The sequence below is a fragment of the Homo sapiens genome, chromosome 1 (genome assembly GCF_000001405.40).
Source record: "Homo sapiens chromosome 1, GRCh38.p14 Primary Assembly".
Lineage (NCBI taxonomy): Eukaryota > Metazoa > Chordata > Mammalia > Primates > Hominidae > Homo > Homo sapiens.
The window spans coordinates 61,948,764-61,966,598 of NC_000001.11; the positions used below are offsets into that span (position 1 = coordinate 61,948,764).

Here is a 17,835-nt window from a genome sequence, read left to right on the forward strand (position 1 = left end):
CGTATGTTTATTGTGGCACTATCCACAATAGCAAAGACTTGGAACCAACTCAAATGTCCATCAGTGATAGACTGGATTAAAAAAATGTGGCACATATGCACCATGGAATACTATGCAGCCATAAAAAAGGAGAAGTTCATGTCATTTGTAGGGACATGGATGAAGCTGGAAACCATCATTCTCAGCAAACTATCACAAGGACAGAAAACCAAACACTGCATGTTCTCACTCGTAGGTGGGAATTGAACAGTGAGAACCCTTGGACACAGGGTGGGGAACATCACACACTGGGGTCTGTTGTGGGGTCGGCGGGGAGCGGGGAGGGATTGCATTAGGAGATATACCTAATGTAAATGACAAGTTAACGGGTGCAGCACAACATGACACATGTATATATACGTAACAAACCTGTACATTGTGCACGTGTACCATAGAACTTAAAGTATAATAATAAAAAAAAAGAAAAAAAAAGGAAGCCTGCTGCAAAACATTACATACTGTATGGTTCCATTTTCATAAACTGTCCATAAAAAACAAATTTATATAGAGAGAAAGCAGGCCTGGGTTGCGATTGGGTTTGATGGAATTTTTGGGGGGTGGTGGGAAGTGGGAAGGTTCTAAAACCAAATAGTTGTGATGGTTGCACAACTCCAATATACTAAAAATCATTGAATTGTATATTTACAGTGAGTGAATTTTATAGTGTGCAAATTATACTCAGTAAAACTTTTAAAAATGTTTCAAAGTTAAATATAATTTTAAATTAAAGAATCACATGCGTAAGAGAGTTAAAAGTTATTATAAAAGGATCTACATTAAAGAAGAGAGATCAGGTTGTAAATTACTTCCAAGAAGTGAATAGGCCAGGTGCAGCAGCTCACACCTGTAATCCCAGCACTTTGGGAGGCCAAGGCAGGTGGATCACTTGAGGTTAAGAGTTCGAGACCAGCCCGCTCAACATGGTGAAACCCTGTCTTTTTACAAATACAAAAATTAGTCAGGTATGGGGGCATATGCCTGTAATACTGGCTACTTGGGAGGCTGAGGCAGGAGAATCACATGAACCTGGCAGAGGCTGCAGTGAGCCAAGATCACACCACTGCCCTCCAGCCTAGGTGACAGAGCGAGACTCTGTCTCAAAAAAGCAAAGAAGGGACCAGGCACGGTGGCTCATGCCTGTAATCCCAGCACTTTGGGAGGCCAAGGCAGGCGGATTACTTGAGGTCAAGAGTTCGAAACCAGCCTGACTGACCAACATGGTGAAACCCATCTCTACTGAAAATACAAAACATTAGCTGGGTGTGGTGGCACGTGCCTGTAATCCCAGCTACTGGGGAGGTTGAGGCAGGAGAATCGCTTGAACCCAGGAGGCGGAGGTTGCGGTGAGCCGAGATCACGCTGCTGCACTCCAGCTTGGGTGACAGAGCGAGACTCCACCTAAAAAATAAATAAATAAGGGAATAAAAGTATAGTAATCAACAGCAACGTATTTTTTTGACAGTGATGGCGTTTGAGAACCTTAGAGCTCATTTGGTATCTAATTTTACGTTGAGGAGGCTGAGACAGAGAGTGATTAATTTGCCCCAAACCACTAAATTAGTTACTGATGAAACCAGCACTAGAATCTGGTTCTCATTTGATGTTCAGGGCCACATGTAGGCACTTCCTTCCAGTGCCTTTCTCTGTGTGCCATGCCAGTTTTTAGCATGAAGCAAACTTGTAATAAAGATTTATTGAGCAACTAGTAGTTCTTTTGGTTTAAAATTTTGTCTATTTTTTGTATCGTTGTGGACTCTGTAGTTGATCTCTACCTTGCCAATAGGTGTCACTACAATCAACAGCAATTATTACCAAGCATTTAAAGAATGTTAAGAATGTTCACGTCAAACTGTGTTTAACAAAATTTATATGTTCATTTCACCAAATATTTGAGTATGTTTGTTCTTTTTTTTGTTTTTTGTTTGTTTGTTTTTGGCAATGCAAAATAGGATGGAAAAGTGTTAGAAATAAAGGCTGATTTCATTTTTTAGTTTTATGTAAATTCTTTTTCTCATTTCCTACACAATCATCCATTTTTGGGCTTTTCATAGTTAAGTAAAATAGGCTGACACAGTGTCTTATGCCTGTAAACCTAGCACTTTGGGAGGCCCAGGCGGGCGGATCACCTGAGCTCAAGAGTTCAAGACCAGCCTGGTCAACATGGTGAAACCCCATCTCTACTAAAAATACAAAAATTAGCTGGGCCTGGTGGCACATGCCTGTAATCCCAGCTACTCGGAATCTGAGGCAGGAGAATTGCTTGAACCGGGGAGGTGGAGTTGCAGTAAGCCAAGGTCGCGCCTCTGCACTTCAGCCTGGGCAACAGAGCTGTCTAAAAAGCGCACCTCTGCACTTCAGCCTGGGCAACTCTGTCTAAAAAAAAAAAAAGGAAAAAAAAAGTTATTTAGTAGAATTTGTATTCTAGCTCTGTAATTGGAGAAAACTGATGAACTTGGCTTTTTATTGTTTTTTTTATTCTGAAAACTCAGCTTCAGCGCTTGATATAATTTGGATGTATTTATTATAACTGTAAATTAAAAATTGTATTGTTTAATACCTTTTGAGTAGTATTTGAGTTTTCTTTGGGTATTCTTGACTTTTTAAGTATTACTCATATGATACAGTGATCACATAGATGATTTTTTTATTCTGCATTTTACAAAGAAAGATTATACTGTATAATTGGTAGATACTTCTGAAGTCACTGTAATTGGTTAAATAATGGTATTCAGGTGTGTGGGGGGTAGGGTAGGGTAGGGGGTGCACTGTAGCACTTTGAGTGAAATTTAAGAAATCTCAACCATTTTTCTAGTGGGTTTTCTGAAGCTACATTTTTTTTTTATATTTTTCCCCCCTGAAAGCTAACTTGAAGGCTTGACTGCTTAAATAGAATCTTTACTGCACGTTTAGAATGTTACTGAGATACAAATGAATCTCGCTAGGGGAGAGATACCACATGCTCAGTGTGGTTCACCAGCTTCTTTGTTATAAACATGATTCAATGCTGGGAGCATTAAGGAGAGAGCAAGTTGGTGACTGTTCCCCTCACTTTGGACAGGCTAAAATCAACTGCTGTTTCCTTTTAATTTGCATTTGAAAGATGTAACTAATGTGATGAACCGTTTCTCAGCAGGAAAGCTGGGTCATTAAAATGATATTAATTGAAGCTGGCCACAATAAATGGTTGAGGTTATAATGCCTCCTGTTCTGAAATAGAGCTATTATCCTGAGGCGAGCAGGGTAACTGAGTGTCACAGTCAGCAGCGTGAAGCATCCAAGGGTCTGATGTGGGAAACCAGGGATTTTGCTTCTCCGGCATAGTTTTCCAGGCAGCTTTCACCTGCTGACAGAGGTGACTGTTTAGCTTGAGGACTAGCTTGAAATTAGCTTAATTGATTGCTTTTCCTGATATAAATAGATTGACAGGTTGCCCTTAAAGAGAACAAAATCTGAGAGAGAGAGAGAGAGAGAGAGAGAAAAATAGGCCCAAGGTCGTCAGAAGAGAGAGGAGTCTGTGGTGAGGATTTGAGCTGCGTCCAGCATTGGATATTTGTCAGGAATGCAGATACCCTGAAGGGAACACAACAATGGTCCAAGGGGGTTTCCCAGGTAAGATTTCTGTTGCCTGTGTGATCTGTGGTTCTTTCGGAATGCAATCTGATGCTGTTTTAGTGTTGGTGCAGAATGTGGTTTTAAAGGTTTAGACAATGGTAAGCCAAGGCATTTTTCTTAAGTAAGAGAGCGAGGGCACATATGCATGTGCAAGGTGATTGTACATTAGAAACAAACCCCTGCAATTTTCTTTCATGTGCACTGTAGTTTGAATGTCCTTATGATGTTTTTGAAAAGTGGAGCAGTTTAATCAGACTGTCAAAGATATACCAGTAGTTTCACTGCCAAGATTCTCAACACTGTTCATGCTGTATTCTCTCCTTTCAGAATTGTAATTGAGAAGTAGACCTCCAGGACATTTATTATCATTATTGTTGTTACTTGTGACTTCACCATAATAAAAAGGGAAGACTATTTATGTTAGAACTAGGTTATTCTGGTTAATTTTAAAAACTGACCATTCAGCATTTTGTTATAGATGAAAGCAGAATATCACTAAGGACTCATAGTAGTAAACAAAAGGCTGCTTTTTCTAAATTGTAAAATAACACATTAATTATTTTATTTGCTAGTTGTGTTTGGTGCCTCATTCATCTAAATCTACAAATTTAAATTCGTTAGGGGTGGGGGCTCAGCTCTTGGAAGTATTACCACTGACTTCCTTGTTAACATAATGGTTCTTGCAATCATTGCTACATTGGCCATATAATTTCATGCAATAGAGTACTCTTAGTTTATGCTTTTGCCTGACTTAAAAAATTAATTTCTTAAAATCAGAGCTTCTTTTTATCTAAATAAAATGGAATATTGAGACATAATAGGGGTATTCTTGCATAAGTATTATTGCCTAAGGGAGGCAATTGTTAACTCAAGAGTTAGACATGACATTATAGCCTTTCTTTTTATTTTCAGCAGTGCACACGCAAATTAGGTTATTTCTACTGCAACAGTAGAATATTTGCTGCATTCCTGATTTAAGCTAGCCAACCTTATTTGTGGCTATGCTGTCAAAACTATTGAGCAAGAACTTTTGTTTAAAATATAATTTCTGAAGATATCCCTGTGGGGGTCCTGAACTACCTAGTATTCAATTCTGTTATTTTGATTTGGAGGAAATGCTATAGCTCCTAAATGGATGCGTCACAGATTCCCTGTAGTGACAACTGTCTGACTATATTGTGTTTCTTTTCATTCTGCAGTTGGAATTGCTTTCAGTTGTCTGTCATCTTTTTAATACTGCTTCTCAAACTTGTATTGACAAGGCAACTTATAGGGATCATCCTGGATATTTGTGGATCCTGCCTGCTTTTCCTCAGACTCTTCAGAGCAGTTTATTCATTTTCCTTTTATTTTAGGAAATTTCTTGATTTTAAAAATCTATTTCTCCAGATTATAATACATGTATGCTTTAATCTCCTGAGTATAACTGGCCATCCCTGATCATTTTCTTAATCTCTACCACACTGACTTGAAGTCGCCACTGTCCAGGCTCCAAACACCGCAGTGGAACCCTTGAAAATCCCCATTGCAGTTTTCTAGAAAGTGAGTCAAGTATATCTAGTCATTAGGAATTTATGTGTCCTTTGCGCTTTGTTGAACTAATATATAAACTCACTTTTAGAAAGGCTGTTAACTATCAAAGTGTCTCATAAATGGACACATATTTATGTGTTATATGTAAGTTACTTTTTCAGTGTTCATGATCAGGATTGATTTTCTATAATCAGTATTTTCAACATTTATTAAAAGCTTCTATTTATGTATACACATTTAACTCCAAAGTATTTTAATACACTTTGGTAGTCTTATGACTTAGTCTATCTTATATTATGTTCACTGCTTTGGCATTCAGTCAATTTTAAAAGCATGTTTCTATTTCATGTTTCTTTTTGGCATATTTTACAAAAAGTAATATGTAGAATTATAAATAAAGGATGAGGCCTCGGTCTGTAGAGAATTTACCTTTTCTTTTGTTCTTGCTTGGAAACACATTATTTTACATGGGTTTATGTTGCTTTGATTTCAGTAGTTTTATGTCACTTTAAAGTATTTTAGGTTTGATATATATAAGTATAGGTTAAACACTCATCATTTTAATTGATCCAATGTTGAACAAAGAGAGGGCATTGTTATTTCAATTAAGAAAATAATATATCAAAAATTAAGTAGCAGTTAAAGTTACTTTCTTGCAGAGACTGCCTCTTTTTTGCTGAATGTAATGGGGCAGGAGGTAAGAAATATCACTCCTAAGTTTCTATCATGTTTACATATTTAGATATGTATTTTTTAAACAATTTACTTTTATCTTTTTCTTACATTTATGATATGCCAAACTCTATTGTTTTTTTTTTTTTTTTGAGACAGAGTCTCGCTCTGTTGCCCAGGCTGGAGTGCAGTGGCACTATCTTGGCTCACTGCAAACTTCTCCTCCCGGGTTCACAGCATTCTCCTGCCTCAGCCTTCTGAGTAGCTGGGACTACAGGTGCCTGCCACCACGCCCGGCTCATTTTTTGTATTTTTAGTAGAGACAGGGTTTCACCATGTTAGCCAGGATGGTCTCAATCTTCTGACCTCATGATCCTCCAGCCTCGGCCTCCCAAAGTGCTGGGATTACAGGCGTGAGCCACTGTGCCTGGCTGGTATGCCAAACTCTTAAGATCCTTGTATAGTGTGAGGAATTCATATTGCACATTTTGAATACATCTATTCCATGTTAGTATTATTATTCCCATTTTTAGATAGTAAAACTCTTTTTATAGAATGCTTGGAGGGGTTTATCCATTGGTTGGTGGAAGTATAGCATAGCCGCAGTTACTGTGGTGATGCATCATTAAGCATTTTTGGAACCTAATACAGCCCTAAGGTTAAGAGGAGAAATACAGTATCTAATATGAACTTTGCCTTCAAGAAGTTTATAAAATTTCTAAAAAGAAAAAAGATATATAGGTGCAGAGACACATGCACTGGAAGGCCCTCTGGAAGAGACTGAGCTTATGAAGTTGGTGAGAGTGGCTTGGAGTCCAAGCTCCAGACTTGTGAGTCTACTAGAAGAAGTGCTACAAGCCTGGCTTGTAGGAGGGAAACGATAGCAATGATCTGTGCCAAGAGGGGATACATGTGTAACAGAGTTCTAAAACTTTAAGTTCAAGAATTTATTTTCTGAAATAGAAATTATAGTGATAGCTAATCCAAGTAGCTACATTTGAGAACACTGAAATGAAATTTATAGGTTTATTTCTTTACTTTTTTGAATACTTAGGTTCTAGACACTGTGCTAAATGCCTTACACACATTGTTTTCTTCAACACATATAATGTTATGAGTTTTTTGAAGTCTTATTATTTTATAGATCAAGTCTAGATGACTACAAAGCCTGTACTTTTAAGAAGTTTTAATTTTTCGTGTCTTCATGCATCTTCTCAAGTAATCCATTTCATTAGTGAAGCCAAATTGATTGCTATTCTCTTTTTTGGTAATTCATGTTGTACATCCACTCATTGGACAAAGAGACATATAATTGGAATTACTCCAAAAAGCATACTGAAGTTCCAGATTTTGAAAAATGTTTACTGTATTCCCCAGCAAACCACATTTTAATATTGAAAGTTCCAATTTAAAAGAAAAAGTCACAAACCACATGAAGCTGAATTGGAGAAAAATACAGTATCAGAGGCATGCCATGAGGTTTAGGGTACACCTCCCCGTGGCATCACACGCTGCCCAGTATGAGCCAGGCTTCTCAGCACAAACTGACTTATCTTCCATTGCGGAGGAAGGTCTGCATTTGGAGAAGAAATAGCAAGTCTCCTGATGCTAACCAGATGGGAATGGGTGAGTGCTTAGGTTTCCAGTTTATTTTAATTATGAAATTTTTACAAATTGTAGTGTGAGTCACTCAGTATTTTCATGTTTGACCTAAGTAAGATGGAAATGTACGAGCATTTTGTTAAAGGTTTTGAATTTCATTTGGGTTTTGGCTCAGTGTTGCCTGAACCTGCTTCGGGTTTTCCATATCTGCTCTCTGGAATCTTACAAAAGCCAGTGCAGGTACAAGAGCAGGCTGGGAATGAGAAGGCAGCACCTTAGAGTTCCATAAAGCAAAAGATAATGAGGTATGAAAGGTTAAAAAAAGAAATTTATATCTAATGGGTAGTTTCTAGGTTCTGTCATCTAAGTGTTCGCTTGAGTATATCTCATGCTTCTTGGAAATGTTTTGATTATACCTGCAGGGATAAAACATGTTCATAGTGATCATCTAATAACAAAATTACATTGGTTGTGGCTGTTTATCTGTGCCACATGAAGTCTTTGAAAACAGCTCTGTGCTACTGTGTAAAATTAAGTTAAATACTTTGATTCTTCAAATGACAAGACATTGGATTTGATTTATTGCTAAGTCACATTTATATGATCATTTGCAAGTTGTTTAGTCACGTGTTTCAACTGTTCCTTGAGAACAATCATTTTGGCAGGCAGATAATCTGTGTTTTCACAGATCACAGAACCTGCAAAAACTAGCTTTCCATTCTTCAGTCCCCCTTGAGTCTGTTACTCCCATCATAGGCCTGTGCTCCTGTTTCTTTCGCTTTGCATTTAAATAGTCATTTCCTCCCCATGAGTATGTGGCCATTAATGCACTTACAGTGCTGTGTTGAGACTAGGGGTTTAGCTGTCTATGGCCAGAGTTTAGGTAACTGTAGATGTTTAATAAACCTTATTTGAACTGATGTAGAAAAGGTCATTTTGCATGTAACCTAATGAATATTCATAAGAGAGTGGGCAAATCTATTCCATTTATAAAGTGGGTATTCTCATGGAACAATGGCTCACTAAAGAAAAGGGAATCATTCTGCCATCTACACGTATTACTTAGAAGGTTCTTTTTATGGGCTGCATGGTACAATGATATTATATAAAGAAAGGGCATTTTCTCTCAGTGGAACAATGGTTTTTATCAGACAAATAATTTTTCTATAATCATAAAGGAATTATATATTTGGGAATGATGAGCGTTAGAATAATGGGCAGATTATTTTCCTGCTTTCCGTCTTTTTTTTCTTACTTTAATTGAGCAGTTCATTTTTACTTTGTGTTCACTTCTTCAGTGGTTTCTGAACTAATCTATAATATGATTTATGCATTGCACCATGTTCAGGGCAAGTTACGGGATAGTTTCTTGGTCAAATAGGAAAGAGTAGAAGTTTTCCACTTTGTGACCCGTGAACCTTTGGTGCAGCATGTGGCCCATTATGTGTGTTGGTAAAGAAAAGTCTTATTGTTGATGCTTTCAAACTACAAAAAACCAGAGTTGAATAATTGCAGCAGAGACCATGGATCCCCAAAGCCTAAAGTACGTACTGTCGAGCTCTCTCAAGTAAGTTTGCCAACCCCTAAGTTACGTTATAGAAGTTGAAGCTTTGAATCAGGTGTGAGTTCAAGGTCAGATCTTACCTTATAGCTTGTCAACTGTGTATACTTGAGCAAATTCGTTATTAGAAAATTCTCTGAACTTTGATTTTCTTTTCTACAAACCAAGGATAATGCTACCTACCTAATAAGGTTTTCCTGGTGATTAAATGGCATAAAATATATTAAGTATTTAATACATTGCTTTGTAAATGGTAAGCACTCTGAAAAGTTTAGCTATATACAAAATATATGTATATGTATTTCTGTGTATGTTGGTACATTTATTTTTCCTTTGTGTAAGATTGAAAGTTGTTACCTTTATTGTGGTATACTCTGTGATTTACATGTTTATTGTGTTTACATGTTTGTAATTTGTAATTTGTTTACAGGTTTATTGTGACTACCAGTTGTATACTCATTATTTCTAACTCTCTGTTAATTTCATGGCCTAAATTTAATCTGGTTAGTTATTTAGGTTTTTCCCTTGCTGTAAAGAAGTTAACTGTTCAAATATTACCTTAACTTTTTAAAACATGACCCTAATTGTTTCTGGCAAATGGTAGTGGCAAATACTAAATTGATTAGATAAGAATACTTTAGTATAGAATATCATTATATTATATTATTCCCTATATTCTTGTGTAATATTTGCAAAATATCTATACACCTTAAAGCCCTCTATGGTTAAAGTACCCTACCATTTGTAAACCATGAAGATTTCCCTTGAAGATTTTCCCAATATTTAAGCAGTGTCGTCTGCTTTATTTGGCAAATTTTTTTATCCTCTTAGAAAAAGCCCACTGTGACCCTATATACGGCCTCAAATACATGTTGAATTTTGATTTTCCTCAGGGAACACAGAGGAGAGATTGTGATCCCCAGGGGTTACCTGGTAGAGGGAGAATATGGAGGCCCAGAAATCAAGGCTGTGCCTCTAGTTAGTGTGTGACCAAGTTGTCAAGTCATTGACTTTCTCTGGAGCCTCACTTTCTTAATCTGTAAAATGAGTGTGAGACTAAATTACCCTTAAAATTCCTTCTAGTCCTGTGATTTTTAGGGGGAGTGGATGTTCTGTTTTGTTAGGGCAGATAAAACCTTGAAGATACACATTTTCAGTAAATACGAAGAGCCTAAATGTGAGCCTTTAGCCTGGAATCTGTCAGTCCATAAAGAGTCCAAAAATGTCTGCTAATCCCTTGAATTTTCTTGGAATGTGGGGAGGGGTATTTGGGGGATTGAAAGGAGGAGGAGGTTATCTTTATTATATCATCCATAAAATCCATAGCTCAAGGGAGGTAAAAACAGCACTGTTCCAAATCTATACAAATCATGAAAGGTAGGATGAATAGATGATACTTCATATCAAAATAGGCCAGCTAGACCTTTATAGTATAACTTTTTTGAAAGAAATTAGTATGGGACCGGGGATTACATAGCAGATAATAAATATGTATAACATCTTATCTCCAAAAATTGGTTAAGCTACAATAAAACTTAAGAAAGAAAATTAAATAGATAAATTTTTGAATGTCAGGAAATGACAACTTCTATTTCTATAAAGAGCTCTCCCACTGCCTATATATATATTATATATATAATATATTTTTTTTCTTTTCTTTTTTTTTTTTTTGAGACAGAGTTTTGCTCCATTGCCAGGCTGGAGTGCAGTGGCACAATCATGGCTCACTGCAGCCTCGACCCACCAGGCTCAAGCGATCCTCCCACCTCAGCCTCCCAAGTAGCTGGGACCGACCACAGGTGCATGCCACCATGCCTGGCTAATTTTTAAAAAATTCTTTGTAGAGATGGGGTCTAACCAGGTTGCCCAGGCTGGTCTCAAACTCCTGGACTCAAGCAATCTTCCCACCTTGATCTCCCAGAGTGCTTGGAGCCATGGTTCCCAGCCTCACCACTGCTTTTTTAGAATGGTTCTGTCATATGGGTCTCAACACAGTCCTTTGTACATAATTATTGCTTAATGTTGTATGAAAGAATAAGTGCTAGCCTGGGCAATATAGCCAGACTTCCATCTCTACAAAAAACTTAAAAATTAGCCAGGCATGGTGGCATGCACCTGTAGTCCCAGCTACTTGGGAGGCTGACGCAGGAAGATCACTTGAGCCCAGGAGTTTGAAGTTTCAGTGAGCTAGGATCACAGCACTGCACCCTAGCATGGACAACAGAGCAAGGCCCCCATTTCTAAAAAATAAATAAATAAGTAAATGATGTTTCATGGTTATATTCAATATCAATATTGGGTATTCTAATGAGTCTAATTATCTTTGTATAAGTTTATATAAACCATTTATTTAGTGGTTAAGAGCATGGGATTTGGAGTCATGCAATTTTAGCCCCAGATCATCTCTTTATTTAATCTTTCTGAAACATATTCCTTAACTCTAATGTGGAAATGGAAGCACTTACCTCTTTGGATTATTTAGAGGACTAAGTGACATAATACATATGAAATGCAGAACATTCTCCCTGCATGACCATCCTTTCCCTCATATCTTCCTATTACACAAATCTGAGTTCAGCATAAAAATTGTTTTATCTGGCCAGGTGCAGTGGTTCACGCCTGTAATCCCAGCACTTTGGGAGGCCAAGGTGGCTGGATCACCTGGGGTCAGGAGTTCGAGACCAGCCTGGCCAACATGGTGAAACCCCGTCTCTACTAAAAATACAAAAAATTAGCCAGGTATGGTGGTGGGCACCTGTAATCCCAGCTACTTGGGAGGCTGAGGCAGAAGAATCAGCTTGAACCAGGAGGCAGACGTTGCAGTGAGCCGAGATCATGCCATTGTACTCCAGCCTGGGCAACAAAAGCGAAACTCCATCTCAAAAAAAAAAAAAAAAGTTTTACCTTTGAACGAAGTACAATTTTTATGGAGAACATTTCAAATTCCTCTTGATTTTTTTAAAAGAAATTTCCCAAAATCTTGATGCCAGTGGGTTCTCTAGAAATGATAATTTTGCTGACCATTTTTCTCAGTGCTCTTGGCTTCATCCAGTCTAGATAGGGGGAAACACTGATTTCTGATTCTTGAGTTCTAGACAGTTATATCTTCTTGAAAGGGGCAGAGTTAAAGATGGAAGGATTGGTATCTTGTAAATATATTCAGACACTCATATGGGAAGGAAAGGGACTGTCCATTTTAATAATGGAGACATAGACAGGTTTATGGTTCAGCTTTCAAAATCAGTCTGAGAAAAGTTAAGCCTAAAGTTTTCTTCCCTTTACTGTCATTAATTCTGTGGAATATCTGGAACAGTACCTTTGGGTGAGTTGGAGAAAGCTACACGCTCTGGAACGATGCCAACAGGGAGGCACTCAGATGATTTAGCAAGGTAAAGGCCTTTGATCAAAGAAAAAAGGAATGCCTTTATCCTTGGACACAGTCAAATGGATTCCATAACAACTCCCACCCACTATCGCAGCCTGGCACCCTTGTGCAGTGTACATACTGCACAACCAATCATGGTTGACTGTGTTACTAGATATTCTGAAACTTAGCTCTCTGACATCTTGACCAGTCCTACCCAAGGCACAAAGCCAAGAAAGAAATGATCAGAAGAGATTCCCAGGGGCCAAAATGGATATAACTACATGTGTACTCTCAGCTCATTTACTTTGCTTGAAAAAGAATCCCTGACTAGATCTTATTAGCTACCAATTTGCAATAAAATGTTTTATTATAATTTATCATATTTTATAGTCATATAATAGGAGACAAAAAAATATATTTTGCAAAAACACTTTAGACAGGCCTGCTGACTGCAGGATCAATACATGAAAAGTACCAACCTGACAGCAAAAGATGTGGAAAAATGATATAAAGCAGACAAAAGAAATATGAATACAGGGCTGGGCGCGGTGGCTCGTGCCTGTAATCCCAGCACTTTGGGAGGCCGAGGCAGGTGGATCACCTGAGGTCAAGAGTTTGAGACCAGCCTGACCAACATGGCGAAACCCCGTCTCTACTAAAAATACAAAAATTAGCTGGGCGTGGTGGTGCATGCCTGTGATCCCAGCTACTCGGGAGGCTGAGGCAGGAGAATCACTTGAACCTGGGAAGCAGAGGTTGCAGTGAGCCGAGATCACGCCATCGCACTCCAGCCTGGGCGACAAGAATGAAACTCCGTCTTAGAAAAAAAAAAAAAAGAAAGAAAAGAAATGTGAATACGGAAGTCTCTGTTTGGTTGCAGCCCTATGTGTTGACACTCAAACAATACCATCTATTCTTACTGGGAAACCTTTCCTGACTCTCTCAGTTAGAAGTATTGTCTTCTGTATTTCTTTTTGTTGGTTCCTCTATTATTTCATTTTTACTTCCACAGCCTACCATGATATTATCATTATTCATACATGGTTATTCATTATATTTATAGCCTCATGAGAATAGTCTATCTTGATTAATTTTTAATTCAACATGTCTTGTTTAATGCCTTGTACAGATGATACACTCAGTAAATATTAAATGAGCAAATGGATGAATAACAGGATATTAAAATTAGGCAGAAGGCATGTAATTTGGAGGGGCTTGGGCACTGACTATATGTCCTTCTGTCTCGATATTTTTTCCTTCTTGAAATATTCATTTCAGATACACTGTCTGGAGTTTAGTTTTCAGTTATTTTTACAAAGCAGTTTTATAGTTGAAAAAGCAGATATAAGGCAAATCAATCTAGATGTGTAGAGTAATTGGACTGGGTTTGTGGTGTGATGATGGAGGGTTTTGAAGACTTCTTTTAGTTAGTAGAGGATTAATCGGTGATCATTAGGGAGAATTAACTTGTTGACAAATTGCAACAGGAGGACTAATTAGAAGATATATTCTTAAGGATTAAGTTTGACTCTGAGTGAAGACACCCCAAAATAACAGCTATTCTAGAGGACAGAAGTTTATTTTTTTCACACATATGGACCTGGAAGTGGACATTGCACAGCGTCTGAGACCTGGGCTTCTTTCATATTGTTGCTTTCCTATGTGTGACCTCCATCCTCCATGTCACCTCAAAATGTCAAGAAGATACTAGCTGCAGCTATCAAGGCGGCATGCCAGCCCAGCCGCCAGAAAGGAAAGGAGAAAAGAGAAAGGGCAACCTTCCTCCTTTTAAGGATATTTCTGGAAAATAGCACATAATTCTTTAAGTTGTATTCCATTGTCCAGAGTTTAGTTACACAAATAGTTATAAAGGAGGCTGAGAAATGTTCTTTTTCTTCTGTACAGACATATGCCCAGCTAAAAAATACGCAGTCTATTATTCAAGAGAAAAGGTAGAATGGATATCAAAGGACAAATTAGCAGGATTTCCACTGGTAGGTTAAAGATCAGCATATAACTTTTAAATCTCCCAAAACTTTACTAATAGCCTACTCTTGGCTTTACCAATAACACAACCAATCAGTTAGGCACGTATTTTGTATATGTGTTATATATATTCTTACAATAAAGTAAGCTAGAGAAAAGAAAATATTAAGGAAACCAGCCTGGGCGTGGTGGCTCACACCTGTAATCCCAGCATTTTGGGAGGCCAAGGCAGGTAGATTGCTTGAGGTCAGGAGTTTGAGACCAGCCTGGCCAGCATGTTGAAACCCTGTCTCTACTAAAAATACAAAAAATTAGCTGGGCGTGGTGTTGCACATCTGTAGTCCTAGTTACTCAGGAGGCTAAGGCAGGAGAATCACTAGAACCCAGGAGGCAGAGGTTGCAGTGAGCTGAGATTGCGCCACTGCACTCCAGCCTGGGAGACAGAGTGAGACTCTGTCTCAAAAGAAAAAAAAGTAAACCATCAGGAGGAAAAAATATATTTACTATTCATTAAGTGGAAGTGGATCATCATAAAGGTCTTCATCCTCATCCTTATGTTGAGTAGGCTGAGGAGGAGGAAGAGGCAGGGTTGGTCTTGCTGTCTCAGGGGTGGCAGAGATGGAAGAAATTTTGCATATACATGAACCCACACAGTTTAAACTTGGATTGCTGAGGGTTAATTGTATAGAATAAAAAGCAGCAGCACACATTATCCCTTTTTACAATTTGTTTAGTTGCTTGCTTATACTTACCTATCCAAATCAGAAGGGAGTGGAAATTTTGGCCTATATAGTATTTTGATTCTCTTGGAACTATTTTAAAAGCTTTAGTTGAATGTTATTTATTCTAATATAATGAGTTCTAGAGGTAATAACTGTTTTGTCACAGTTTTAGTTCACACTAAGTTGTATTAAAAAGCATTATAATTTCCTTCCTTCCTTCTTCCCTCCCTCCCTCCCTTCCTTCCTTCCTTCCTTTCTCTGTTACCAAGGCTGGAGTACAGTGGCATGATCTCAGCTCATTGTATCGTCTGCCTCCCAGATTCAAGTCATTCTCCTGCCTCAGCCTCCCAAGTAGCTGGGATTACAGGCGTGCACCACCATGCCCAGTTAATCTTTGTATTTTTAGTAGAGACAGGGTTTCACCATGTTGGCAAGGCTGGTCTCAAACTCCTGACCTCAGGTAAACCTCCCACCTCAGCCTCCCAAAGTGCTGGGATTAGAGGCGTGAACCACTGCACCTGGCCTAAAAAGCAGTATAATTTCTTATGTGTTCTCGACTATTCTTAAAATAGCCAGTTAACTATATATATAGATTAGCAGATTAAAGCTTCCAGAAAAGATTTCCATGACACATAGAAAAGATATTTAAGGCTGGGTGCAGTGGCTCACGCCTGTAATCCCAGAGCTTTGGGAGGCTATGATGGGAGGATTGCTTGAGGCCAGGAGTTCAAGACCAGCCTGGGCAACATGGTGAAACCCCATCTCTACCAAAAATACAAAAATTAACTGGGCGTGGTGTGGCACATTTGTAGTCCTAACTACTGGGGAGGCTGAGGCAAGAGGTTCACTTGAGCTCAGAAATTGAGGCTGCGGTGAGCCAAGATCGTGCCACTGCAGTCTAGCCTGGGCAACAGAGCAAGGCCTCAACTCTTAAAAAAGAAAAAGAAATAAAAAAGGTATTTAAATCCTGCTGGCCGACCGTGGTGGCCGATGCCTGTAATCCCAGCACTTTGGGAGGCTGAGGCAGGCAGAACACATGGGGTCAGGAGTTTGAGACCAGACTAGCCAACATGGTGAAACCCCATCTCTACTAAAAATACAAAAATTAGCCGGGCGTGGTGGTGTGTGCCTGTAGCGCCAGCTGCTCGGGAGGCTGAGGTGAGAGAATTGCTTGAACCCGAAAGGTGGAGGCTGCAGTGACGTGAGCTGAGCTGAGAGTGCACCACTGTATTCTAGCCTGGGCCACTGAAGGAGACTCTGTCTCAAAAAAAAAAAAAAAAAAAAAAAAAAAAAAAAAAAAAAAAGGAGCCTTCATGTGTAGAGATTGAAGCTTTATTATTTTCTAGTTGTACCTTTTCAATCAAGCCATTTAAACTTTCTGAGTTTCAGTTTATTCATCTTAAGGACACATGGCTAATGCCTACCTCAAAAATTAGTTTCAGGATTCAATGAAAAAAACATGAAAAAGCCTGTACTGTGCCTAAAACTCAGTAGAGTTATTTTCATTTGAATATGGTAATTAGGGTCAGTAGATGTTATTTGCATTTGAATACAGTAATTATTATCTTTAATATCTTCTACCTTCATCTGTACTTGTTTTTGATACCTCTGAGCCCAAAGTTACCTAACCATTTAGTGAACAAAATGGTTCTCTAACTCTCACTCTCACTAACGTTGTCAACCAGTGGAACCTTTTTAATTTTTATTATTTGATCCCACGAGGGGAAGTGGGTAGCAGGAGGCTAAGTAGTTCAGTTGACAAGGGACAGAGTTAACCAGTGACGGGAGAAATTGAGAAGTACAGAGAAGGCATAGCACCCAAATGCGAGTGGCAAAAGTAGGATTTGAACTCACATTCTGACTCTAGAGCCCACACTCTTAGTCACTAGGTTTTATTGCCCGTTTTAACCGAGGAGGCAGTGCTTTGGCCACAGTAGGAGAGATTTGTACTAGGAGAGTTTGAGAGAGTGAAATAGGATGATCCAGGTTCCACAGGAACACTCACCTAGGAATTTATTCAGGAAGCTGTTATTATTTATGTTATTTTTATTTATTTATTTTTGAGGTGGAGCCTCGCTCTGTCTCCCAGGCTGGAGTGCAATGGCACGATCTTGGCTCACCACAACTTCCGCCTCCCATGTTCAAGGGATTCTCTTGCCTCAGCTTCCCACATAGCTGGGACTATAGGCACATGCCACCATGCCCGGCTAATTTTTGTATTTTTAGTTGAGATGAGGTTTTACCATGTTGGCCAGGCTGTTCTCGAACTCCTGACCTTGTGATCCACCCACCTTGGCCTCCCAAAGTGCTGGGATTACAGGCGTGAGCCACCGCACCTGGTCTATTATTTATGTTGAAGTAGACTTTGGGTGCTTTGTACCAGGTAGCTTGGATTTTCTCCTGCCAGTGCCTCCTTGTCTTTATTTTTGAATGGTAATCTGTTAGGGTCATAGTGTTACTGGAAAGGGGTTAGGATCCAGACCCCAAGGGAGGGTTCTTGGATCTCGCGCCAAGGCGAGTCCATAGAGTAAAGTGAAAGCAAATTAGGCCAAATGCGGTGTCTCACACCTGTAATCCCAGCACTTTGGGTGGCCAACCCGGGTGGGTCACCTGAAGTCAGGAGTTCAAGACCAGCCTGGCCAATGTGGTGAAACTCCATCTCTACCAAAAATACAAAAATTAGCCTGGCATGGTGGTGGGCCCCTGTAACCCCAGCTACTCAGGAGGCTGAGGCAGGAGAA

General features: G+C 39.0%; 1 protein-coding gene across 23 annotated transcripts in view, besides 3 other annotated features; it reads left to right on the forward strand.

The window, feature by feature from the left end:
- PATJ (PATJ crumbs cell polarity complex component) overlaps positions 1 to 17,835 on the forward strand; it is a 421,436-nt gene that overhangs the window by 206,284 nt on the left and 197,317 nt on the right. The window lies entirely within an intron of this gene.
- Positions 767 to 1,570: an enhancer, noted in NCBI's record as "NANOG-H3K27ac-H3K4me1 hESC enhancer chr1:62415202-62416005 (GRCh37/hg19 assembly coordinates)". NCBI's record gives its function as "activates a minimal SCP1, AML or CMV promoter by ChIP-STARR-seq in primed H9 embryonic stem cells {active_cell/tissue: H9 hESC(primed)}" and the evidence as "EXISTENCE:reporter gene assay evidence [ECO:0000049][PMID:30033119]".
- Positions 1,571 to 2,373: an enhancer, noted in NCBI's record as "NANOG-H3K27ac-H3K4me1 hESC enhancer chr1:62416006-62416808 (GRCh37/hg19 assembly coordinates)". NCBI's record gives its function as "activates a minimal SCP1, AML or CMV promoter by ChIP-STARR-seq in primed H9 embryonic stem cells {active_cell/tissue: H9 hESC(primed)}" and the evidence as "EXISTENCE:reporter gene assay evidence [ECO:0000049][PMID:30033119]".
- Positions 1,954 to 2,248: a silencer, noted in NCBI's record as "tiled region #795; HepG2 Repressive non-DNase unmatched - State 13:Ctcf". NCBI's record gives its function as "represses a minimal TATA promoter and a strong SV40 promoter by Sharpr-MPRA in HepG2 cells {active_cell/tissue: HepG2}" and the evidence as "EXISTENCE:reporter gene assay evidence [ECO:0000049][PMID:27701403]".